Source organism: Homo sapiens, chromosome 10 (genome assembly GCF_000001405.40).
Source record: "Homo sapiens chromosome 10, GRCh38.p14 Primary Assembly".
Classification (NCBI taxonomy): Eukaryota; Metazoa; Chordata; class Mammalia; order Primates; family Hominidae; genus Homo; species Homo sapiens.
This window is the reverse complement of record NC_000010.11, coordinates 14,532,452-14,556,585: the sequence shown is the minus strand read 5'-3', so window position 1 is coordinate 14,556,585 and position 24,134 is coordinate 14,532,452. Positions and strand designations below refer to the sequence as shown.

At 44.3% G+C, this 24,134-nt stretch overlaps 1 protein-coding gene and 1 long non-coding RNA gene across 31 annotated transcripts in view, besides 3 other annotated features; one reads left to right on the top strand and one right to left on the bottom strand.

Annotated features, from left to right (window-relative positions):
* FAM107B (family with sequence similarity 107 member B) overlaps positions 1-24,134 on the top strand; it is a 256,341-nt gene that overhangs the window by 218,312 nt on the left and 13,895 nt on the right. For 8 of the 30 annotated variants that reach the window (NM_001282695.2, NM_001282696.2, XM_047425819.1 and 5 more), the window contains one exon: positions 3,199-3,264. The exons of 7 other annotated variants lie outside the window; for them this stretch is intronic. Coding sequence is in view for 1 of the 23 variants with exons in the window: in NM_001320741.2 (NP_001307670.1) it covers positions 23,939-23,999 (61 nt within the window). In the remaining 22 variants the exon portion in view is untranslated. Of the gene's footprint in view, positions 1-180; positions 225-405; positions 571-2,427; positions 2,483-3,198; positions 3,265-7,948; positions 8,147-17,992; positions 18,067-23,871; positions 24,000-24,134 lie in introns of those variants that run through there. 15 more of the 30 variants (XM_047425816.1, XM_047425818.1, XM_047425817.1 and 12 more) reach the window with 11 other exon arrangements.
* Positions 182-241: an enhancer, noted in NCBI's record as "active region_3073". NCBI's record gives its function as "activates an Ori minimal core promoter by ATAC-STARR-seq in GM12878 lymphoblastoid cells {active_cell/tissue: GM12878}" and the evidence as "EXISTENCE:reporter gene assay evidence [ECO:0000049][PMID:35858748]".
* Positions 476-1,195: an enhancer, noted in NCBI's record as "H3K27ac-H3K4me1 hESC enhancer chr10:14597390-14598109 (GRCh37/hg19 assembly coordinates)". NCBI's record gives its function as "activates a minimal SCP1, AML or CMV promoter by ChIP-STARR-seq in naive H9 embryonic stem cells {active_cell/tissue: H9 hESC(naive)}" and the evidence as "EXISTENCE:reporter gene assay evidence [ECO:0000049][PMID:30033119]".
* On the bottom strand, positions 18,739-23,710 carry LOC124902381 (uncharacterized). Its single transcript, XR_007062063.1, has 3 exons — positions 23,637-23,710; positions 23,118-23,300; positions 18,739-22,158 (listed from the first exon to the last, which is right to left on the bottom strand). It is a non-coding gene; the product is annotated as an uncharacterized LOC124902381 (long non-coding RNA).
* Positions 19,323-19,392: an enhancer, noted in NCBI's record as "active region_3072". NCBI's record gives its function as "activates an Ori minimal core promoter by ATAC-STARR-seq in GM12878 lymphoblastoid cells {active_cell/tissue: GM12878}" and the evidence as "EXISTENCE:reporter gene assay evidence [ECO:0000049][PMID:35858748]".

Here is a 24,134-nt window from a genome sequence, read left to right as displayed (position 1 = left end):
TCAAGTGAGGGGCAGTAGCACGGAGCACACAGTAGGTGTCAGTCAAGTCTAAACGTTGCGCACGGCTTTGTTTTGTCCAGAGCTGAGCTCTCGTTAGGTCGGGGCTTGACAAATATGAATATTGTGGCCTGGGCTGCTCTCTGGCATGCTGAGTGCTGACTGGTGTATTTCCTTTTTCAGCCAGAGAATCCTGGTCAAGCCCTGAACAGTCCAGAAACTCTGAGGTCAGCATTTCTAGATCTTCTGTGCATTTGGGAGGAGTCACCATTGATGACTTTATCAATTGTAAATTTCCGATATCAAATTACTGGCCTTCCAGTCAGTCGGTTCTGATGACAGGAAGGACGAGGGCTCTGGAAAGTCACTTTAAGCTAGTCATTGTTAGTCAAATAGTGCTGTTTTTGTATATCGAGTATTGAGAAGGGAATGTGCTTGGTCTGTCTTCTCTCTCTGCTTCGTCACCTGCCAGTCCTGAGGGCCCCAGGCAGCAGTGCAGCTTTAATGTGGATTCCTATGGATCAGAGGTGTCCTAGGGCTCACGTTGTTATTCTGCATTGCACTTGCAGCCAGGTAAAATCAGATTTCTCCTGTTTCCCCTTTTGGGGGTGGGGTGTGTGGATTTGAAAGGCCTGTCACGTGTGGCCTGATTGCACTGCCCAGTGTGTGTGTGTGTGTGTGTGTGTGTGTGTGTTAAAGATGTCTGCAAGTTTAGCACTGGCCTGTCCTGATTAGTGAGGACCTCTGATTGCCTAGGCCAGGGCTCAGGTGAGAATACTTTGATGCTGAGGGGTAAACTTGCCTTCTGAAGGCACAGAGCCTCCTGGGTGGCAGAGCAAGGACTGGGCCTGGCGTTTCTGACGTTTAGACCTGTGTTCTTTGATAAAGCCATGATGTTTAATTGTGGAGAAAATGGTTCTGCAGCAGATGCAGTGAGGAAACAAATAATGCCCAATTTTTCCAAGTCACTGAATCAAATCTTTATCTCAGAAGTGAACATTTTAAGAGAAAACAAAATTTATTTCTTGCTAATGGCGTGGGAACAACTTATTTAAAAAAATGAGAGTGAGCAAAATAAAACTAGATTAAAGACAGAAGTAAAATGTTTAGAATAGTTTGTTTTATAATCAGGCATTAAATTATGTCAGTGGGAGTATGATTCCAAGTTCATAATGTCATCACTACTTAATTAAAATAATAGATGTCTTTGTAAGTCTGCTTTTGTTAGATAATATTATTTAATCCAGTAGTCAGTTTTATAATCAATGTTTTTCCTTGAGGTAAAAAAACATCGTATGACTTCAAATTATTAAACAACTTTATAATAACAATGTCCTGTTTCCTGAACATTTATAAATTCAATTTATGTCATTTAGGCTTTATGGGTGCTTTTCTCCAAGTCAAGATTATGACTTTGGTTATAAATCCCTCTGGTTTGAGAAAGTAGTGATTTCTTAATACTTGGAAGATAGTTTTTATAATAATTAGTTGTATATTTATAATGTAAAACAAAGAGCTCAACTGCTTATGACTAATCTGAGCAGGCAGTGTTGTGTACTGCTGCTATGACAACTAATAATTTCGGTCTGACATTGACAGGTAACTTGTTAGACCATAGGAGCTTGCATACTCACAATTGTTCTATATTTGCTTTAAAAAATGCCTGAATCAGTCATCAGATGATGGTGTATTATTGACATATTTTTCATCCACTTGATTAAATGAGCTTTTGGTTGATATACTTCTGTGAACTTCATTGACCACCCATCGCTGCTTCTGCTCACCCACTTTTTTGGTAGAGGATTGGAGGGGATAGCATTTGTCATCTACCTTACACAGGAAAGAAAGGGACAGTGTAACCCTGTTTTGAAATGTTCTGTTGAAACTTATTAGCTGCTTGGTGCTGGTACTTCCTGTTTCCAAAACCAATGTTTATGCAACGCTACACTCCATTGTGAGATTATTTATTGCCTTAAGCAGAACTCCTGGCATGTTTGAGACCCTGCCCCTCTCATTTGTACCAGATCCCCAAGTCTCAACTGGTCCAGTCCATTTCACACCAGCAGTACCAGCCTTCATCCCTCTCCTGCCTCCCTTCTGTTGGGTGGCAAAGACCTTGTTGGGTAAATAAGTTTAATCTAATGGTTCTCCCAGCTCATTCCTCCTGCCCAGTCTGAGTTCCGGCCCTTATGACTCTCTGACTGTCATTGTCTTGGCTTTGAATTACCTGGCACCTTTGCCCTGTCTGAGCAATGCTAGCACTCACCTCCCTTCCTTTAGTAAACCTACTCATGATGGGTGTCATGTTTCTCATGCCTGCAGTGCTGTGAACTGCAGTGCCATAAGGTAGGTGGGAAGTATTCGTGGGGGAGGTGTGTTTGTGGAGTAAGGCAGTGGGAGGGTAGAGGAAAAGGAGATAAAGAAAAAGCCCATTTCTAACTCTCTGAACAGGCGAGGCCAGCTTATCTGAGATGCCTGTGATCAGGTGAGTCCATATCTACTATACATTAATTATATATGACATATGTGTGGCAGTGAGCCTCTTAGGATGGGCCAGAGGCGGCAAACCTTGCAGCAAGCCTGGGAGGTGAAGACAAGGAAAAACGGGCTCAGAAAGCTACCTGAGCCCCCTGAACCGCTTTAAAACGAGTCAGCCTGTTTGAAGCCTGGCCCTCCCATTATTAATTGTTATGAATTTTATGAATTTGGGCAAGTTTCTTAGCCTCTCTGGCCCTCAGAACCTACCTCAGAGTGTTGTAAAAATTCACTGAGATAATGGCAGTTAGGACTGCCCAGCTCAAAGCTAATATTAGTTAAGTAATTATTTTTGTTGTTTTTGCTGCTGAACTAAGGCCAGCTGATATGTGGCAGAGCTGGGCTGAGTTTCTCAGACTCTAAAGCTTGGGCTCCTTCTGCGAGTCATACTATTACTGTTGCCTCATCTGTTTTGGTCAGTATGAAAAGTGCCTCAGTTCTTAGTGTCTCCCCTACTCTTTTTGCCCAGTTTCCTGTGTGGTGGGGTTAAATGGCCCTTGACTGGTTCCTGGTACCAGGGACCAGAGAACTTCCTTCTTACCCATTGTTAATTTGAGCTAAGGGTGTGGAATTTTGTTCAGCTTCTTAGAAAATTATGCAGATAGAATGATTGCTTTGGCATTAAGAAACTTGTTAACTGACTTTCACTATGTTTTTTTTTTAAAGGAGAATGCAGTTGAAACTAATTTTGTGGATAGAGAAACTGTTGGAACTGCTTTACAAAGTATTTTAGTAAGTGTGGGGAAATTTACTGTCTCGGTCATCTTTATTCCTCAGCTTTCATCATGATGTAGGGGAAAAACTTACCTGTGAACAGATATAATTATTGAAGTCATCTTTAATTTGTATTCTCTCCCTCATTCACACACAGGTAAAAAGAGTTGAGATTATTTTTTAACAATTGGAGAAGGTAGTTTAAAGATTAGGTGGAAGAGAAGATGATGTCTTACTATCAGTAATATTAACCCAAATAAAACTGTTTAAATGTTTCCCATTTGGAAGAGATCATGACAGGTGGTATAGAGCAAGCTCATCCAATGTACATTGCTGTTGGACGTTTTTGTGTGCTTTCGCTAGTCTCAAGAGAGCTGCCAAATTACTGTGGCAAGTTTAAGTAAGTGAATTAGGGCAGGATTTTCCAAGCTGCTAGGCAGTCTGTTAGTGGGTCATAAAATTAGTTTAGTGGGTCACAACAAGCATTACAACGAAGTGAAATAATGACTTTTTTTTTTAATGGAGTCTTACTCTGTCACCCAGTACAGTGGTGAGATTTTGGCTCACTGCAACCCTTCCATCTCCCGGGTTCAAGCTTTTCTCGGGCCTCAGCCTCCCAAGTAGCTGGGATTACGAGTGTGTGCCTGGCTAATTTTTGTATTTTTAGTAGAAATGGAGTTTGGCTATGTTGCCCATGCTGGTCTCGAACTCCTGGCCTCAAGTGATCCACCCACCTTGGCCTCCCAAAGTGCTGGGATTACAGGCGTGAGCTACCACGCCTGGCCAAAATAATGAACTTATCACAGTATACAGCATGTTGTAAAGGCTATGTATTTCTCCTGGAAACGTTGACTTCATTTTTTTTTTTCATTGTTGGGTGTGTGTGGGTAGTGGATCACTGTATATAGATAAAGTGCGTTTGAAAGCCTCCGATCTGAGATATTTTAGAAAGTTTATCTGAGTTCTTTAGAGCAAGTCTAATTGTGCAGAGAAGGAAAGTGCTTATAACTGAGTCTTTCTTAGCTGTATTTCCATCACCATTGAGTGGATTCACCGTGACCCATTTTAGGGTTCAGGACTTTGGTCATCACAGTGGCAATGTTTTGCAACATCCTCCTTCCTTCTGTGGTTCCCACCAAGATCTTCCCAAGCATCATTTCTAGGTGGGAGGGTCACACATAGCCATGCCGGTTATCACAGGCAATTACACAGAGTAGATGTGATCACACAGACCGTCCTTTTCAAATTAAAAATGTTTTGTTTCTCTAAGGCTGTCATTTTTCTTTTCTCTACACTAAATAAAATAGTTCACAATCCTTTACAATAGAACTACACCATATGTCACAGAAGGCAGGTCTCCGAGAGGCTAAATGTGTGGCAAAAGTAGACAGGAAGCACAGTCCAACCGCTGTAGGGTTGAAATATGAAAAGCTAGTGTCACAGGCCACCAAGAAGGTTCTGAAGCCTTTTTGGGGGAGAACTGGGGAGAATTTGATAAAGCCAGAAAGGTACAAATAGGGACTATTGAGACTGGCATTTCAGTGGATTAAACTATAGAAGGAGAAAAAGATATTCCTTAACATTGGTGATAATATGTTGTTATCAGGTATAATGATTTATAGTAATGGTAATACAGATATTTTTTTTTCCAGAGCTAATACATTTTGTAAGTGGAAAATAAGGTTTATGTCTTCAATTCTAAAGATTCATAGATGAAATTAGGAAAATAGTGTCCTTAAAAAAAAAAAAAGGAAAATAGTGTCCTTCCTAATTAACATGTCCCATGTACCACTGTGTTTATGTACTTTCTACTATAAACTGAATTTTAAAATCTTGAATAAAGTATACTCACAAATAATTGGAATCTTACTCAGTTTGACATTTGTAAGATTATCGGCCGGGTGAGGTGGCGCACACCTGTAATCCCAGCACTTTGGGAGACCAAGGCGGGCAGATCACCTGAGGTCAGGAGTTTAAGACCAGCCTGGCCAACATGGTGAAACCCCGTCTCTACTGAAAATACAAAAATTAGGCGGGCATGGTGGGCGCCTGTAGTCCCAGCTACTCAGGAGGCTGAGGCAGGAGAATCGCTTAAAACTGGGAGGCAGAGATTGCAGTGAGCCGAACTTCATCTCAAAAAACAAAACAAAACAAAACAAAATTATAAACCAAAATGTAGAGAATGACTTTTAGATTTTGTTCTTTCAACTCTGAGTTGCCTCGGAAAACTTTTAAAAGAATTGTCTCATTTTTCATGGCCTTTGTGCTACATTTTTAAGTACTTAATCCATTTAAGGAGGTAAAACTATCCTACTGTAATTAAGCTGTTCAGATTAATTTTTTTAAGGCATAAAGGAAGTAGTTAGCTATGATGATCTGTATTTTCTTGTTACATAATTATTTTACAATTGTTCCTCTCGAAGTGATGAGTGATTTCCTCTATAACCAGCTGTCAGTAAAAGACAAGTTTTCATTATGAGTATGTTAACGTGTCCTTTGTCCTTGTCCTTTTCATTTAGTTAAAGTAACCAGTAGCTCCTATTTATGTGAACTTGAAAAAGGTACTGTTAAAAAAAGTTCTGACCTTTGTGATAAGAGCTGTGAGTGAAGTCAAAGCTGATAGGATGCTGGGTTCTTGGGTAATGAATCCTGTTACAACAAAAGAAATGAAAGCATGACAACTTGGGTAACTCAGGGAAAGAAGCCGATTTCTCCATTTCATGTGGACTTCGTATCAGGTGGAGCATTTACTTAAGGGGTGCCACGCCACCTTTTTCTGTTCTTTCCCTGAGTCATACTGCTGCTGTAGGATTTAAATCCCTCGATGGTGTGTTGAGACTTTGGGCAAACATCACTTGACCATAGAGTTATTAGGTAGTAACAGACTTGATTGCAATGCAATGAATTGCCAGAGTGAGTAACTTGATGGAGGATATGTATTGGTTCTTGGGGCAAAAGTCCTCATACCTGACAGCCGAGGACTAGAGCTGCAGACTCAGTGGTAGGTGGTGGTTGTTCTCACAGACTTGTGTAGTGGGGAAGGAGTGACTATTAAGGCTTTGTTTTGAGAGAGACAGACAGAGAATTGACTTGAGGATGGACGCTTACAAAGTAGACATGAGATTACTGCAGTAGTCCTAAATGATCCTTAAAAGCATCCTGTTGGAGTCAAGATAAATCGGATCACTTCACTTCTATAGGATCTGGATTATGACTGATGTCTCTGTTCCTCATCACTAAAATGAAGTGGTATTTCTCGAAGGCCTCTTTTAACTCCAGAATTAGATGAATTTTTGAAATGTTGAATATTTTCTAAAACAGCCTCCTTTCCATTCCCGTAAGAAAAACGGTTGTTATGCTCTATAGACATGTGGCACCCGATGTCTGGGTATTTACCAGTGAGCTCTTTGTTTTTAGGCTTTCATCATTCTGTGTTCCTTGTTTGCCAAGTAGGATGCTCACTTGCAGGATGCGGTCATTTTCCCATTCAGCTTTTAAGTTTTCCTGTGTCTGTTACTGTCCATACAGATAGTGAAAGGCTTCAGCTGAGTCCTGTGGGGAGATCACTTCGAGTTTCTGGGTTTGGGTGTGCTGTGATGGGGTGACTGAGATCACTGTCGGTGGTGAATGAACGGTCTCATGGAGCTGGGGTTGCCCTGCTTTTGTTTACTCGTGACTCTACAGGGCAGCCTGTGGGAAAATGGCAAGGCTTGGCGTCCTGGAACCACAAGCCTCCAGAGGGAGTTGAATTAATGTGCAGAGTTGAATCAGGGAAAGTTCAGAGGCAGTGTAGTTTACTCCCTTATTCCAGTACCCACACTCACTACAAATGTGTTTACATTTAAACTTTTGCCAAAGCCCCCTTAGTTTAAAAGGGAGGCTTCACATAAATGGAAAAGCTGAGGCCAAAAGGCCTAAACTTCTCTCATCTTTATTGCTTATTGCAGCTTTTATTATAGATGCTGCGAGTACTCAGCACTTCTAAGAAACTCCGATTGCTCTTGTTTCCCTTTCAGCTTGGAGCTGGGATCCAGAGTAGTTAACTGAGGGGCCTCGCAAGCCCCTTGTCAGGAGGATGGCCTGCCTTTGAAGGCAGTTGACTCTTGTATGTGTCTTAGTCTCTTTAGGCTGCCATAACAGATGCCACAGACTGGGTGGCTTAAACAATAGATGTTGGTTTCCTCACACTTGTGGAGGCTAGAAGTCCTAGATCAAGGTGCCAGCAGATTGGGTTCCTGGCTTGCAGACAGCCGTCTTCTCATTGTGTCCTCACATGGCATTGAGGCTGGAGAGTACAGGGAGAGAGATTGAGAAAGAAGGAGCTCTGGTCTCTTTTCCTCTTCTTATAAGGACACTGATCCCATCATGTGGGCTGCAGCCTCATGACCTCATCTAAACCTAATTACCTTTCAAAGGTCCCACCTCCAAATACTGTCACTTTGGGGGTTAGGGCTTCAACATAGGAATTTTGGGGGGACTCAGCATTCAGTCGGTGTGTGTGTGCGTGTGTGTGCGTGTGCATGTGTACTTGTAGAGGAGGGTTGATTGTCCACCTGACAGCCGTTGCCATCCCCTCTTCCCTGCTGGATGCCAATTTGCATTTTTCTGGCACGTTTTGCGGCTAGAGTGGTCATGTGACACTGTTCTGGCCAATGAGGCGATGGAGGAAGGCCCCCGGGGGCTTCTGGGAGTGCCTGCCTTCGCAGCTGGAGAGAGCCCTCCTCAGGGGCTGTCTCTGCCTTCCCTTCTTCCCATGTGTATCTGGGGCAGCTGAGGCAGGGCTAGGAGAAGAGCCCAGGTTCCTCCTGCCACCTCCAAGCGATGAAGCAGCCCTGGGCCAACTCCAGCATTCTCGTGTGAACTGCAGAGGAGCCCTGCGCTTCCAGCTACTTGCAGCCAGGTGCTGTTACCTACGCCCCACGCACCCTCACAGACCTGTGTACAAGGGCACAAGTACCTCCCCTGGAGCTGGCAGGAGGTGCAGTCGGAAGAGCATCTGGTCCCTGAGGCCTCCCTGTGCCTCCCCCTGGACCCCCAGGGTGTCCGTGTTCCCAGTTGTTGACCCTCGGGTGCGTCTGTCGCGTCTGCTCTCTTCTCCTCCAGGCAGGGAGCTCCTGGACCACGTCTTGCTCCCCTCTCGATCTTCAGGCCCACCCTGTGCTCCCCCGTAGGAGACATAGTAACTGGTTCAGCCAACCAGGTTAACTCAACCAGCGAGCGCTGTGGGTCCTGGTCTTGCTGACAGCTGTTGCTTTACTCCTTTCTTGTTTTTGGTGTCCTCCCTGCGAAGCCTGCGTATTGGTTGTTCACAGAAAGCCCACCAGGTGGTCTGAAGAGAGGGAAGTGGGAAAACAGACTTTAATTAAAAGGGCCGGGGCCATGGAAATAGCTGTTCTCTAGGGTTTGGTTAGAGACAGACAATCCTCCAAAGACCCAGACAGAGATGTGTCCCTGTCCTCACGCTCAGTTTTCATTGCGGAAGCAGAAATCAAATAAGAGCCAACTTAAATTCTTTTAATTATGGAACATTTTAAGCCTACAGAAAAAACACATCATTGTTACCGTTGTTTCTGGCATTAAGGTCTCTTTTTTCTTTTTAAGAGTGAAAAATGAAGTTTTCCAGACAAACCCTTAACTAATTCAGTATTTCAAAAGTGAAATACAGGCTGAACATCCCAAATCTGAAATCTGAAATGCTCTAAAATTCAAAATTTTTTGAGCACTGACATGCTGCTTAAAGGAAATGCTCACCGGAGCATTTCAGAGTGTAGATACTCAGAAATATTCCAAATATGCTAAAATTGGAAAAGCTTTGAAATCTGAAACACTTCTGGTGTTTCGGATAAGGGATGCTCAACCTGTAGTGAGTGAGTGGTTGGAAGTTAGAACATATTCTTCTGTAGAAACAAACCTGTTTGACCCACAATTTGGCCAATATACGGAGATTTGAGATGAAAAACTTACAAAATGATAGAATGACTGGCTGTCATTTTACCAGTAAGGAAACAAACCCAGAGAAGTGAAGTCAGGATTTAGGTTTGTGGACCTTTTATTTAAGGTTCTTTCTACTCTGCCATACGTTACTAGTGACTTCAGACAACAGTGTCGAATCTCATCAGCCAAAACCCACCAGGAACACAACGTGTAGTTATACAGAAGTTGGCTTCGTTTAGCTTGCTTCTGCCGGGGCCAGTGTACCCAGAAGAACCCTGGGACTATTTTGGAAAGGCAGACTTGGGGTTGTTGTTGGACTGGGTGATTTGAAGGTGGAATTAGGGAAATGGGACCAGATCTGGGTTGGATGTGGCCAGGAGGCAGAAACAATTCAGTGATTGGGTATCCAACAACTTTTATCTAGGAGGTAGGAGATTAAAGTAGAGTTAGAGTGGCCATGCAGTAAAGAATTTGCAATCATACATGTTGGTGAGAAAAGGGGGCATCTGGTTATTTTTGTGGTAGTAATGTGGGCCCATCTGTGTCCGTTTTTGAGCATTCATTATGTTCTGATGGGAATATGGGGGTCAGGTTGTCAATTAGACTGGTCTTTACTTTGAAGGTCGGTAGGGTTGAATTTAATTTGTTCACCAACTTACTTAATTTCATTCTGAATGCTGATGCTTGAGGAATAGGTTTTAATGGAGCAAGATGCAGTGGGAAGTAGGGACTTAGAGGATGTCTAAATAACCGTGTCTGAGCAGTCACTGGTTTTTAAACATTGTAGCTGCTCAATGGTAATAATGCAAATTTTAAAAAAGGCAGATGGGTAGTTTTCGCCTAGCTTGAGAAGCTTTAAAAATCATCATGACGACTGTACTATCTTAAAACGTGATCAGCTATAGAAGCAGATAAAACTGTCGAGCTGTTATTAAAGTGTACTTACAGTTGAAACATATTAGTCTTCAAAGATGCCATCCAGTTACTGATCCAGAGGTAATGTTAATGGTGGTGTTACTCACGGTGCCAAAACACCCACAGATCAGTAGAAAATGTGGACAGTCAATTTAGAAAATTTGCAAAGCAGTCAGAAGTGAGAGGCAGTGTTGGGTAGTGAAGAGTGGACCAGACTCCAATCTTGGTCCTAGTCCGAGCTTTGCCACTGTGTGGTCCAGAATGTCTTTGCCACTCTCTTAACTTAGTCATTTCATCTCTCTGGGCCTCAGTTTCCTCATCTGTCATAATGAGGAAGTTGAACACCTGGTCTCTGTGTTCCTTCTAAAGTTTCTGTCATTAAGTCTGTTTGAAGATAGTCTCTTCTTTTGAAAGTATTAGTTTGTTTGGCCAGTTGGGCCAGGTCATAAATATTACGGAATTATTAGTCAGCTCTTGAAGACAGGAATGTTTGAGGGCTTTGAAAGCTAGCCCAGCAGGAAGCTTTTCGTGGTCTGTGTATTTTCCTTCCTCTCAGGAATGATTAGGCCGAAATCAACCATCTTCTCAGTCCATCCTCTTTGTAGTTTCCTGAGATGAATGACCGAGGTGTTTTCTCCTCAGAAAATAACATAGGAGAAAAATTCCAAGGGAGGTCTCTTTATTCAGGAACTTGCAATTTAGGAATTAAGTGTGATAACTTTATTTTACCAATTTTAATTTTGTGACTATAACATAATATAAATAAGGATTCTGTTACATGCAAATTTTGAAATCATGCAAAAACCAAAAAAGGAAAAGAAGTCAATCAAAACTTGTATAATTTCAAAGATGGTGGCCAGGTGGTTTGGAAGCTGTGCATGGGATTGCCACATGGCCTCTCCCCTCTAGCAGGCAACAGGTGCCTTGTGTGTTTAGTCAGTATCTGCTGCATGTCATTGCTGATGGCATTCAAGTTTTTGCTTATGTGTGCTGGTATTTAATGTTCACTTAGATCTAAATATCTTTTTTTAGCCTTCAAAGATGTCAACCAGGTATTCATCAAGAGATATATTAATGGGGATGTTAGTGATAGAGCCCAGGACACCCCCAGCCCCCAGATCAATAGCTTTGTAACAGAAGCGCTAAACCACTATGAAGGTGATCAGACAACAGGGGGATGCATCCTGCCATTAATTTAGCAGAAAGAGCACACGTCCAAATAGGAGAGTTAAAATAGAGAGGTGCTGTAGCAAAGTGGCTCAGAGCATGGACTCTGGAGCTAGCTGCATGATGCTGCTAGCTGCCATTTAATTAGCCTTGTAGATTTAGGCAAGTCACCTAGTCTCGCTGGGCCTTAATTTCCCTATCTGTATGATGGAATAAATTTAATGTCTACTGCAAAGGTTATGTGACACTTAGCAAACATGATAAAACACAGGTTGCCGGGCCCACCCCCCAGAGACTGACTCACTGCATCTCCGATATTTGCATTTAACTAATTCCATGATGGTGCCGATGCCTCGGACCCTGGGATGACACTTTGAGGATCACCATGCTGTGCATTTGTACACACAGACACACACGTAGGCATTTGTTTTCCAAAGTAAAGGGCATACTGTTTGGAGCCTAATGTTTTTCTCCTATTTAGTGCCTTGTGAATATTTTCCCTTTCATTATTTATTCTAATAATGGATGATTTTAAGCTGCACTGTATTCCATTATTAGATATTTAAATGGCTTCCATTTTTTCCGCTATCATAGACCATGCCGGAATAAATATCATTCTGTGTACACTTGTCTACATCTCTGTTGATGTCTTTAGGGTAAATTCCTAAAAGTGGAATTACTGCGTTCAAGGGTGTTTCACGGTAAGGCCTTTTGCTACACATTGCCAACAAATTCTTCAGAGAGTAGCAGAAATTTGTCTTCTTACAAGTAGTCTATGAGAGTAGATGCTGATTTTCTAAATGTAAGGGAATAAGAAAAACTTCATGATTAACTTTTTTCACGTGTATTTGGGCTTTGGTGGGAGTAGGCAAGAAGAATATCCGTGGATTTATAGAGTAAGCAAAAGTATGTCAGGAAAAACTAGGAAGAATAGGGCTGAACTGTGGCTTGATTTCAGGAGAGTTTCTGGGATTCAGACTTGAATTAACTGAATGATGCTGTAATGTATAAGTGTTGGTATAGGTGATTTTATGCAAAGAAGAATAAACATTGGCTTACTTTTATTTATCGTATACGGTATGGGTGACTACTGCTGCTAGTTCAAGGGTCTTGATTTTTTAAAAATGTGTTTCTTGACTGTGGTAGCTGGGAGCCCCAGGATACAGACTTTTGGTTAAATAACATCTGCTCCACTCTGCCTTCCCGTGTGGGCCTCTCTAACCCTGGGCCAAGCAGTTGAGTCTCTCCTCGGGGTGCCTGGAGTGAGGGTGGATACAGCTTGGGTAATTCAGCATCTGTACCTAAAAACTTACTCAATGTAGGCTTCATGTAAAGAAGTCAGTGGTTCTTGGGAACAGGGGTGAGTGAATGGAGGCGAAAGGTGGGGCCCTCCACAGGTCAGTCAGGCCCTCAGGGTGGGACAAGAGCTGTAGGGCTCTTGGTTATAAACCTGTGTGGTGGAGACCAGCAGGTGAGCCAAACTCTTCTTTATTATCAGAACATTTCACTAATAAGGGATCTCAAGGGTCATCTGGCACAGCCTTCTCTTTTTGCAGATAAGGAAGCTAAATAATTTATTATTTCAGTTAAGCTTCACCATATGAGAGTTTTTGGTTTTTTTTTTTTTTTTTTAAAGTTTTTAGGATCAGATAGTGAACCTTGGAACAGAATTGGCTGCTTTTTGTTTCTTTTTTCTGGAAGTGCTGAACTTTAGAGAATTGTGGCTGCATGGTAGACAGGCAAAACAGGAAGGACACAGTGCAGCTGAGAGCGAGGGTGGCCTGTGGTCTCTCGTTTGGCCTGGAGAACGGGCTGATTTCAACTCCTCCTGCACTGCTCCTGAGTCACGGGTCCTACACCACCGTGCCTCTCTCCCGAGCTCAGGAGGCCGAGCTCAGGACTGCATGCTCCTTCCTGAGTGGTCTCCAAAGGCTTCAGAGTGGCCTTGGATGAAGAGCTGCTCACTTCTGTGCCAGTCATGTTTTTTAGAATTTACGTACTAGTTTTCTTCTTGCAATTCAAAAAAGTGTTTTTTTTCTTTTCCTTTTAGTAAAGAAACACGTATGACGGGTTATTTCTTTTAAAAAGCAACAGCTCCCCTGAACACCAAACTGTGCCTTTTACCACTGGGTGACACTGTTAGACCACAGAACGTGCTTTGCTGGTAAAATCAAGAGTCCTTGAATTTCAGATTTCATCAAGCTACTTTACATAGGAGAGAGAAACTCCAAATCACTTAATAGTCATCTATCAAATGTTATTTGATAAGTGTAATTTATCAATTTTAAGGCCAATGAGTTTAAGGCAATCAGTTATTAAAGAAATCCATTAATTGGGCAGGATTTCCATTGCTTAGAAGTTTTTGCAGATTAATGTGCTGCATATTAATGAACTAATTATTTCATGGGAATATTTATGCAAGCCAGTGTACTAATATATCTATTTCTCACCAGACAAAAGTCTAAGTTATCTTTCTTTGGCAAAAGACTCACTGTTGATACACAGCAATTAATGTTACGGAGTTTTAGTGAGGATTTTTTTGAGCCATCTTAAAAGCACGTCTGTTGGTTAGAGAAATGGGTATTTGGTTCTCTGTACTGGTATGTGTTAAGAAGATTATGTCTTACTATTTCTGAGCTCTTTCAAGATCAAATGAAGACAGAATTGTTCAAAGCGTGGGTTGACCTCCCCTACTCAGTTTTTGGCTCCTTTTGGAAATCTGATGTCTGCCCTTCTAAGCGTAAGGTGAGCATTATCTGGTCAGTTTCAGCTGACCACTATGTGACTGAGATGTTTCTGAGGTTAAGAATTGAGTGCGAGTCAGGCCCTCCCTTTGTGGGGTTAACATGAGAAAGAAGACAACTTCAAATTTAATTTTAATAGAATCAGACTTCAGTATCCTACAAGAGGTATTAATGGAGTCCTGCAGGAGTGTAAAGGGGAAACACTGAGGAGGAGCCAGGGAAGACTTGGTGGGGTGAGTTCCTTCATTTGGGTACTCTAAACCGCCCGTATTATCCTGTTCATTCAATACTTTTTTTTTTTTTTTTTTTTGAGATGGAGTCTCACTGCATTGCCCAGGCTGGAGTGAAGTGGCGCGACCTTGGCTCACTGCAGCCTCTGCCTCCTGCGTTCAAGCGATTCTCGTGCCTCAGCCTCCTAAGTAGCTGGGACTACACACATGCACCACGATGCCTGGCTCATTTTTGTATTATTATTATTATTTTTTTAAGTAGAGATGGGGTTTCTACTTGGCCAAGCTGGTCTCAAACTCCTGATCTCAAGTGATCTGCCTGCCTCAGCCTCTCAAAAGTGATGGGATTTACAGGCGTGAGCCACTGTGCCCGGCCCATTCAGTACGTTTTAATACGGTGCACACAGTGTGACATACAGCCCAGGGCTGGGGAAGGCAATAGGAGGTAAGATGAGAGGTTTGCTGGCCTCTGGAGGTCAGCCAGAGGCACAAGGAGTCGGCAGCTCCAGCTTTCTCCTAGCTCTTCTGTGTCTGCTAGTCACTGTGAGGCCACTGCTACTTTGTATGGCTTATGTACAAGCCATTGTGCCAGAGCATAGGGGAGAGGATGGAAGTCACTCAGAGGTCTTTTCCCTTCTGCAGAGATTGACTTCTGTGTCCTTCAAGGGGAGACAGTGTGGAAACGTGGGAAATTAGCCCACAGGCGGGGAAGTGCCTGAGGCAAGGGGCGTCCAGTGGAGTCTTCCACAGCAGTTCAAACAGTAGGACATGTCTCCGGAGGAGAGGCCCCGGGAAGACTCGGGGAGGCAGGCTGTGAGCTGGTCTTTGCAAGGTGCCTGGAGTTTTACTGGCTGGGGAGGAGGGATTTCTGCCCAGGAGGAAATCGGAAGCAGAGGTGGAGATGGGAACGTGCACGGGCTTGGTGTGTACTGGCTGCCTAGAGTTGATGCCAGAGAGTTAAGAACCACACATTTGTAAAGGTAATTGAGGACTCCACTATCGAGAAGGGGGCCACAGAAGGCCAAGCAGTTTAGCATCCTCTCCTGAGGTGACCAGTGATGCTCGGCTTGGTAGCCCTGATCTGATTAAATGAGTTAGCTCATTGGATTTGACTGAGGATGCAGCCGGATTAGAGGGAAAGGCAACCGGAGGGGATGGAGGCCATGGAGAAGCCAAGTGCACAATTCCCAGGATGAGGGATGAGCGACTGGTGATAGGGGGCGATTTTCAGATGCGTTTATGGAAGGGAACTGATGATCGATTCTGTACTTAGGGTTGAAACCTGTGAGATAGAACCTTTGGGAGAAATAAGGAAGTTAAGGGAAGACTGCGAGGGATTGTTTCTCAGTGGAAGAATGGTGTGTGTGCTGTCGTCTCTGTTGCTTTTGAGAAACAATAGCTCAAACTCAAATTCGCCTGGGATGACTTCTGCTACAGTGTAGGCCCTGTGGGGTGGGGTTGGCTCTGTCCTTTCAGTGTCCTTTCCAGCACCTGGGCAGTGTCTGGCACCTCAGAGGCCTTCAATAAATCGTGAGTAAAGGGGAGCTCAACTTGACACCTGTTGATTCTGAGGTGAACATTCCAGTACGAAGTTGGAATTTCAGAGCCAGAGCTTGGGAAGTCAGGAACTATCTCCACACACACTTTAGAAACAGCTCTTGTAGCAGAAGGGGTAAAGGTGTATGGGGTTTCCAGAGGCATGATCGAGAGAAGAGGACAGGGCTGTGGCCCTCTGCCTGGACTGCTGGTGGCGTTAAAGGGAGGGAAGAGGAAGTGTGGGCAGAAAGCTGGGGGAGAACAGGGGGAGGACAGAGGGAGGGTGGTCCAGGGGCTGCCTTCGCATCAGCAAGGAAATACCAGCCCCAGACCCAGGAGAGGCCCAGGAGAGTGTCACCAAAGGAGGGAGCCCTGGATGGCCTGAGAAAACCCTGCCGGGTGTGGACTGTCATGCGGATAGAAACATGCTGTTGCTGTGAATATTTGAAGGATGACATTTGTTGTCTGTTAGTGACCACGGATCACAGCCCTTGGGGACAGACATTGAGGGCCAGAAGCACAGGCACTTCTTACCAGAAAAAACACCTGACAGGCCAAGTGACACTGCCAGCTCCTAGGTAGCAGTTGGTCTGGGGAACATTAGCCAAGGTCCTTCTCAGGGTGAAATTTCTCTGGAATAGTTCTCAGGCCCAGCCATTGCCCTAGGAATAAGCTCAAATGCACCTCTTTGGTTGATAAACATTCTGTGCTTTGGGGCTTCAGATGGGACTGACTAGGGCTGGGACACCCAGAGCTGCAGAGTGGAGCAGGCTCTGCCTGTGTGTCACGTCCACATGGTGAACATGGCAGACGTCTGGTCGCCCTTCTCGTTTCTCCATAGATGTGCTGCTGTTGGCTGAACCTAGGGGACATTCCTCTCTCCCACCAGGTACTACTCACAGGATGAGGGTAGTTCTGCAGTCTACCAGGGAATTCTAGAATCTGCACAGGAGTAGAGGAAGTGAGGGTGCAGGGTTTGTGTCTTATCTGCAGTCCTAGGACTTTCAACTGGGTGAAAAAAGTCACCAAGGATCAGCCTCTTGCCAAGACAAGGGGCTGTTATAGTTGTCTGTGGGCCCTTGAAGGATTTTATTCCCCCCTTAAGCCATTTTTACCTCCTTCCCTGAGCCAGGAATTGAATGAATCTTTGTTTATTTTAAATTAGTTTTCTTCTATCTAGAGACTTCTTGTTCTCACACCCTAGAGTATTTTTGTTTTTGTTTTCATTTTCTCTCTGTATTTTGTCTTCAGTCTTTTCTAAGTTTGTTTGAATATCCAACTTCCTGGCAAAACTAGATTATGTGAGAACTGCTTTGTTTTTTTTTAACTTTGGCTTTGATCATGATATATTTGGACAATATAGAAAATGCCTCTTTTTAGCCAAGATGCAGACTTTGGGGAGGTACAAGGCTGAAGAAATTTAGTTGCAGGAGTAATTTGCTAGTTTGCATGGAAAGCAGCCCAAACTGTCATTGCTTGACCATCAGCCTCACTTTCTTCTGACAGATACCAGCTGGGTCTTGGGTACCCAACTTTGGCACAAGCCTCTCTGAGATCCTGCTCCAGTCATTTTCTTTCTTCCACAGCACTTTCTCCCTTCCCTGTCCACACTGGAAAAATGAGCAGAGGCCAAGATTGGGTTCATCATTATTCTTTGTTTAAACTAGTGTACTTGCGGTATACGGTCATTCACTTTCATGTTGATGGAACATTAAGTAATGGAGAGTTAGAGTAATGAATTAGTTTGTTGGGACTGTTTGCCTACTTTGTTGAGCATCTGCCACGTGGGCAAGTACTGTGGATGGTAGATGTTTTCCATGAGTTTTCAAGAATGCTGAGACCAACTCTGCATATGCAAGTGTACTAGCTCTGATTTCCAGTTGAGGAATCAAGACTCAGGTTAAATAATTTTATAAAATCAATAATTGATGAGTGACCTAACCAGGGATTCTAATTCAAGATGGGTGGTCTTCAAGCCTGATGCTTTTTTCCATTATGCTGTATAACTTCCCATGGACTATGGATGAAATGACAGAATTGTCATTATGCAGCAGCAACCAAGTGACTTGTGGATAGTAATTTTAATAGCTGTTGAACGTGTACTCTTACACATGCAGAGGAGGGCATGCACCAAAAAAGTGTACTGATTGAGGGTGAATGTTTAGAGGAAACACACCTGTGTCACCAGAATCTGTATTATCCAGAAACAATCTTTTCCAGACCCTGGAAGCCCCATTGGTACTGCCGTCTATTCACTCCCGAAATAAGCATTATCCTGACACCTAACATCAAAGGTTGGTTTTGCCTGATTTTGAACATTATGTACATGGACGCATGCAGTATATACTCTTCTGCATCTTGCTTTGTTTGCTTAACGTTGTATTTGTGAGATTCAGCTGTGCTTTGCTTGCAGAATTGCCAGTTCATTCTCATTGCTGCATAGTATTCCACTATGTCAGCACACCGCTGTTTACTTACCCATCCTACTGTTAGTGGACATTTGAGTTGCCTCCAGTTTGGGACTATTATGAATGGCCTGCCATTAACATTCTTATAAAAATCATTTATATTGATATATTTTAATGAAATATGTCTTTCCTGCCTCCCATCTCACTTTAATGTCATCCTTTGCAAGATGTTTTCTGTTTGGGATCGTAAAGCTGTGATGTTAGAAAGGTTCTAAAGTCCTGTTGAGAGACAGGAAATCATTCTGTTAAAGTCAAATCTGGTTCGTCCATCCATCATCCCAGCCCATGGAGTGCCTAAGAGCTTCCTTTTGGAATTACACAGACTCAAGGTCAAATCTTGGTCCTGCTCTTAAGCAGCTTGGTAACCTTGGGCAGCAGTGACAGCATTATTGTTACTAATTTATTCTTATTCGTTGCCAGTGACAGCGCTAATAGCAGGTGATGTCTATTGAAGGCTTACTGTGTTGTAGGCATTGCGTTTGGTGCATTTCATTTTTTTTTTTTTTTTTTTTGAGACAGAGTCTCACTCTGTCGCCAGGCTGGAGTGCAGTGGCGCAATCTCAGCCCACTGCAGTCTCCGCCTCCTGGGTTCAAGCTATTCTCCTGCCTCAGCCTCCCGAGTAGCTGGTATTACAGGTGCATGCCACCACACCCAACTTTTTGTATTTTTAGTAGAGACAGGGTTTCACCGTGTTGGCCAGGATGGTCTCGATCTCTGGACCTCATGATCCGCCCGCCTCGGCCTCCCAAAGTGCTGGGATTACAGGTATGAGCCACCGCAGCCCAGCAGTTGCATTTCTTATTTACTCTTCATAGCAACCCTGTGAGATCTGTCAGTCCTTTTTCATTGTTGCCTTGTTAAACTGGCGAAGGCCCTTACCCAAGATCACACTTAGAGCAAGTGAGGAAGCTGGAATGCAGATGCGGGTTGCCCCACCCAAACCCATGCTCTTGAAGCTGTCAGCCTCATTTGGAGACTGGGAAGTCATGACCCCTGCCTCATGGGCCGTATGAGGACCAAGTGACAGGGGAAGCTTACATATACCCCCAGGTGACATGGACACCAGCTCCAAGATGGATTCCTTTCCCTGCATCTCTCAGAATGGCCAGCTGCTTTTGGGGTGTGCTTTGACTACAGTGCAGGAAGGCGGAGTGGGCATGGCTGCTCCACTCTGGCTGTCCTAAGGAAAGCGGACCTGCCATTCCAGGTCTGGACACCTCATTAGTTGAGGAGGTGTCGCCACCTATTGGTCGTTCCCACCTCACTCGGGCCAGCTTCTGGTTGCTGTAGTGTAGGCAGATGTCTGTCGGATGTTTCTTGCCCTCCTTAGTTGTCACTCCCTCCTCCTCTGCCATTTTCTAAATATAAAATATGTGCCTTATTTGTAAAAATACATTTTCGGGGGATGAAAAAACTGATGAGAAAATGAGTTTGATACTTTCCCAAGAGCATCACTGTTTGGCATTTGTACAACAACATATTGGCAGCAAATTTATTGAGTTCGTCATTGTTTTAAATGACCATCCTGGGAAGCCACAGAGGACTGTCCCGTAGCCATAGTGGAGCTTGGCAGAGTATGAAACAATAACGTCTCTGCACTTACGCTGATGACTCTGGTGGGACGTCGTTTCTAAGCCTTGGTGCACCAGGTTGGTGGCCACAGAAATCCCCTGGGCACTTGTCTGTTGCCTGGTCTAAGATGGAAATTTTTAGGTTTGCCTTAGGGCCAGGCAAGTCAGGAGTTTGTGATGAAACCAACTGCACTTTGGGAAAAATTCTTACCGGAACTCAGGCTCCTGCCTGTCTGGGAACTGTGGGTGCTGAGAGAGAGGCTTTGGATCTAAGAGGTGTCTTTCCCTTTTCAGGCTGACCCGGCCTGGAGTTTGCCGCCTCCACCTTACGTAACTTGGGTTTCTCAGGGTATTGCCAGAGGGTTGGCAGAATCTTAGAGACAGCTTAGGAAACAGATTCTCCAAAAGTATCTTGGAATTACTTTTAACTTTCCAGACGTTTTAGCAGTTCAAAAGGTTGTTTCACTTTGGTTGGTGGTAGCGCACCTGTAAACTGTACACGTTGCCACGTGCCAAGAGATTGTTTTAGAAAGGATTCAAGTATTAGTGCTTCTAGATAGAATTAGGTCTTATATATTTAGGTAAACATGAAAACTAGCATAATCTGTAAATTCTGATTTTTAAATCTTAGAGGATTAGGTTTTGAATTCATCTCTTTGATGTAGAAATATGCAGACATGGAACCAGAGCAGTCTGCTGGGGCAAGCCAGCTACGGTCTGGGTTTGTTTTATCAGCCCAGTTGTGAAAGTTTTCCGAGGGAATGGTAATTCACCTCTGGAAAGCAGTCAACAGAAGTACCTGGGATAGCCAGAGAGCTGGGCCCGGAGTGAACTTTGGAAAGGGAAAAACATGAAAAGCAAGGACTCAAAATCCATCTGTAAGCATGGGATTTCCCAGTGCTCTGGGATAGTAGAGTCAAATAATGACTTCCGTGTGTTGCTCAGTGGAAATTAAAGGTAGAATTCTCATCAGGCAGCATTTTTCAGTGCATAGTGTGTCTGTCTGAAATACAATTCTGTTATTACTCAACAGCTTGAAAATCTTTCAGTGAGTCCCCTCCATTCAGAACAGCACGAGAGGCCCTTGTCATCAGGCCTGTCTGTTTCCTGCCCCACTCTGAACGACTGGAGCCATTCAGAACTTCATGCAGCACCTTGGCAGTGTGATAGACAGACCTTTTTAGACTTTCCAGAAGCTTCTTATGTTAGTTGCATGAATAGGTCCAAGAACCATTGAACGTTGTCAGTGAGAAAGTCTGTGGGTCATTCAACTGAAGTTACAGTTTTGAAGAAATCAAAGCCCAGAGAAGTAGAGTTTCCTATACAGAGTTTTCCAGGCCTCTAAATAAAGTATGTAATGTTGCTGGTTGCATAGTTGGGCTTATAATAGCTTCTATTGAGTTCTCATGTTTGTGCCAGGGATTAGAGAGAGTCTTTGCATATACATTTTACTCAGTTTTTACAGCATTCATTTTACACATAGGAGAGCTGGGGGTCAGGGAAGTTAGGATTTGTCCAGGATCTCAAACCAGTTTTATTTCTCCTTCACTGAGCTGGTCCTGGTTTTCCTTAATTGACTTAATACATTAAAAAAAGTTACTTTGAGTAAGTTACTTGACCAGTGAAGTGACTGTGACAAGATTATCTTTGTGTTTATTTCTAGAAATGATGTTTCATGTCAGTAATAATATTTGCTTGCAAAGTACTTGTACCTCTAGACATTTCTACCCCATCTTTACTCTCAGGCTCCTGGATTCCTTGTTGCTCAGAGAGGAAATGTACCTGGCCGCTCAACCCCACTTTCTGCACTACACCTTATGGCGGTGGAATCCAAATGGCTCAGGGACACCCTCTGTCGTTAGCCCATGCCTTTGTTACTTCATTTAAGTAATGCTTTCTGAACAGGTCCAAGGGGTCAAAAGAATAGGAACATAAACCAGACATGTTCTTTGCAGTGAAGAGAGGATAAGATTTATATCCACATTGCTATAATACAAGGCGGTGGTTGACGAATTACTAGGAAAAAAGAACAAAGAACATCCCATAGAATTTGGGAAGGCGTCAGGGCAGATGCGGCATTTATTTGGATCTGCTGGATGCGTGAGTTTGGCTTTGTGGAGATCCGGGGCTGCGGTGGGAAAAGCCTCAGCACGCCTTCGGAGGGTGCAGTGCTGCTGTAAGCATGCTGGTGGAGGGAAGGCGGGGTGTGAGGATGTGGGGAGCAAGAACATTTGTTTCAGCTTGATCGGAAGATAGGATTTGTGAGACGCAAGAGTTGCCTTATACCAGAGTTGTATTTTCCAGCGTTGGTAGCAGTGAGCAGGATGGCTGGCAGAGGGAAGAGAGCTGTGAAGAAGGTCATAGTGATGGTTATTGCCATGTGTTAGTCACAGCTCCAGGGCGGGGTGTCACTGAGAAGCAGCTGGAACCCAGATCCCACATGGTTCTCCCGCCACCACCACTGCCCTGAGTACAAAGACTCAAGGAGGGGGTTGCTCCGGCCCGTTCACCCCCTTGTTACTAAATGACCATTTCCCAGACCCCAGTGTGGCCTTTGCATGAGGAGCTGCAGGGACCATGCCACCTGTTCTGAGGACAGGCTTAAGGTCTCCATGCTTAACTCAGACTGAGAGGCTCCTGTGCACCCCCTTTTCCAGCTCCAGTTGTGAAGAAGGACAAACCAGTGAAAAAGAAGGAAGATGTTTGCCCCTGTGTTGACAGCATATACATATACTTCACCACACTGTCCCACGGAAAAACATCCTCCTGGGCTGAAATCCTAAATGCACTACACGCACTTCTGTGCAGCCACAAGTGTCTGAAAAGTCAACCGCAGCCCCCCCCTCCTGCACCGGCTCGCAGTGCCCGTGTCTCTCTAATAGGAGACAGGCTTGGGTGCCCCTCACCCCACTGGTCCTATGTGAGAAGAAAGATTTCCAAGCAACTAAATCTAAAGAGAAGTCAGAAAAACATCCCAAGCTAGGGCCTGTTTCCTAGATTCAGAACTAAAGTCATTTCATTCTGTGCACTGGAAGCTCAACCTCCCTCCTGGCAACAAGGCCCAAGTCATGTTTGCACCTCAACACTGACGTCCAGGAAAGGCTGAGTGGGCATCTTATGCTGTCTCTAGTTGAGGGGGAAGTGGGAGTGCGGGACAGAGGATGAGGGGACGGAAAGCGGAGGGCAGGCAAAGCCTGAGACTGCAGAGGGCCAGTCAGTCAGGTAAACGAGAGCGAGTCAGTCAGGTAAAGGAGAGCGAGTCACCCAGGCTTGAGCGCTGGCTGCACTTGCCCTCTCAATGTCACCTCTTTCATGTCGATCAGACGTCTCAGACTCGACACGTCCTAGATCCACTTGCTCTTTCAGCCTCCCGTCATGGCAACTTGAGCCTTCTGGTTGCTCAGGCCGGAAACCTCCAAGTCATCCTTGATTCCTCAGTGCTTTTCACGCCTCGTGTCCAGTCCTTCAGGAAGTCCCAGAGACTTTACCTTTAAAATACATCTTGAATCAGGCTCTCCGCCTACCTATGCTGCTGCTGCGTGAGTCTAAAGCATCTCTCACCTGGATGACCTTTGCATCTGCCGCCCTGCCTGCCTGCAGCCCGTTCTAAACCTGGGAGCTGGAGTAATCTTTTAACTCATGAGTCAGATACCGTCATTACTCTGCTCAGAACCTGGAAATGACTCCCCATGGCCCTCAGGGTGAAGACCAGAATGCCAGCACTGGTGTTCAAGTTCCCACGCTCTATATCCTCACCATCCCTCCCTCCCCTGCAGCCAGCCTCGCGCTTTGCCATTCCTCATCCCCCCCAGGCACCCTCCTACCCTGTGGCCTTTGCATGCGCTCTTCTCGCTGCTGATCACGGCCCGCTCTTCTGTCACATTCCCTCCAGCTCCTCCCCAAATGTAATAACGAGGTCAAGGTCAGAGGCAGTTGTCTGTTTGGGTTTGGCATCGTGGAGATTATCTATGGTGAAGGGCAGAAATACGGAGCCTTTTATGGAAGTGTGTAGCCTTCTTGGTCTATGATTAACTAGAAGGAAACTGCAGTTGATTTTTCAGACACTTGTGGCTGAGCAGAGGTGTATGTAGTGCATTTAGGATTTTGCCGAGGAGCACGTTTTTCCATGGGACAGTGTGTTGATATCAGGCTGGCTGTGATGGGTTCCCTGAGTCACCCTCTGCGAGGTTTGTAATTCTCAATTCAGTTCAGGTTGCAGGCATTCTTGTTGTTAAAAGAGCAATGCAACTAGTGTCTGAGGAATGTTTGGTGTAATTTATTATATATGCCTTACTGTTTGATAATTTTGAGCCTAATCATGG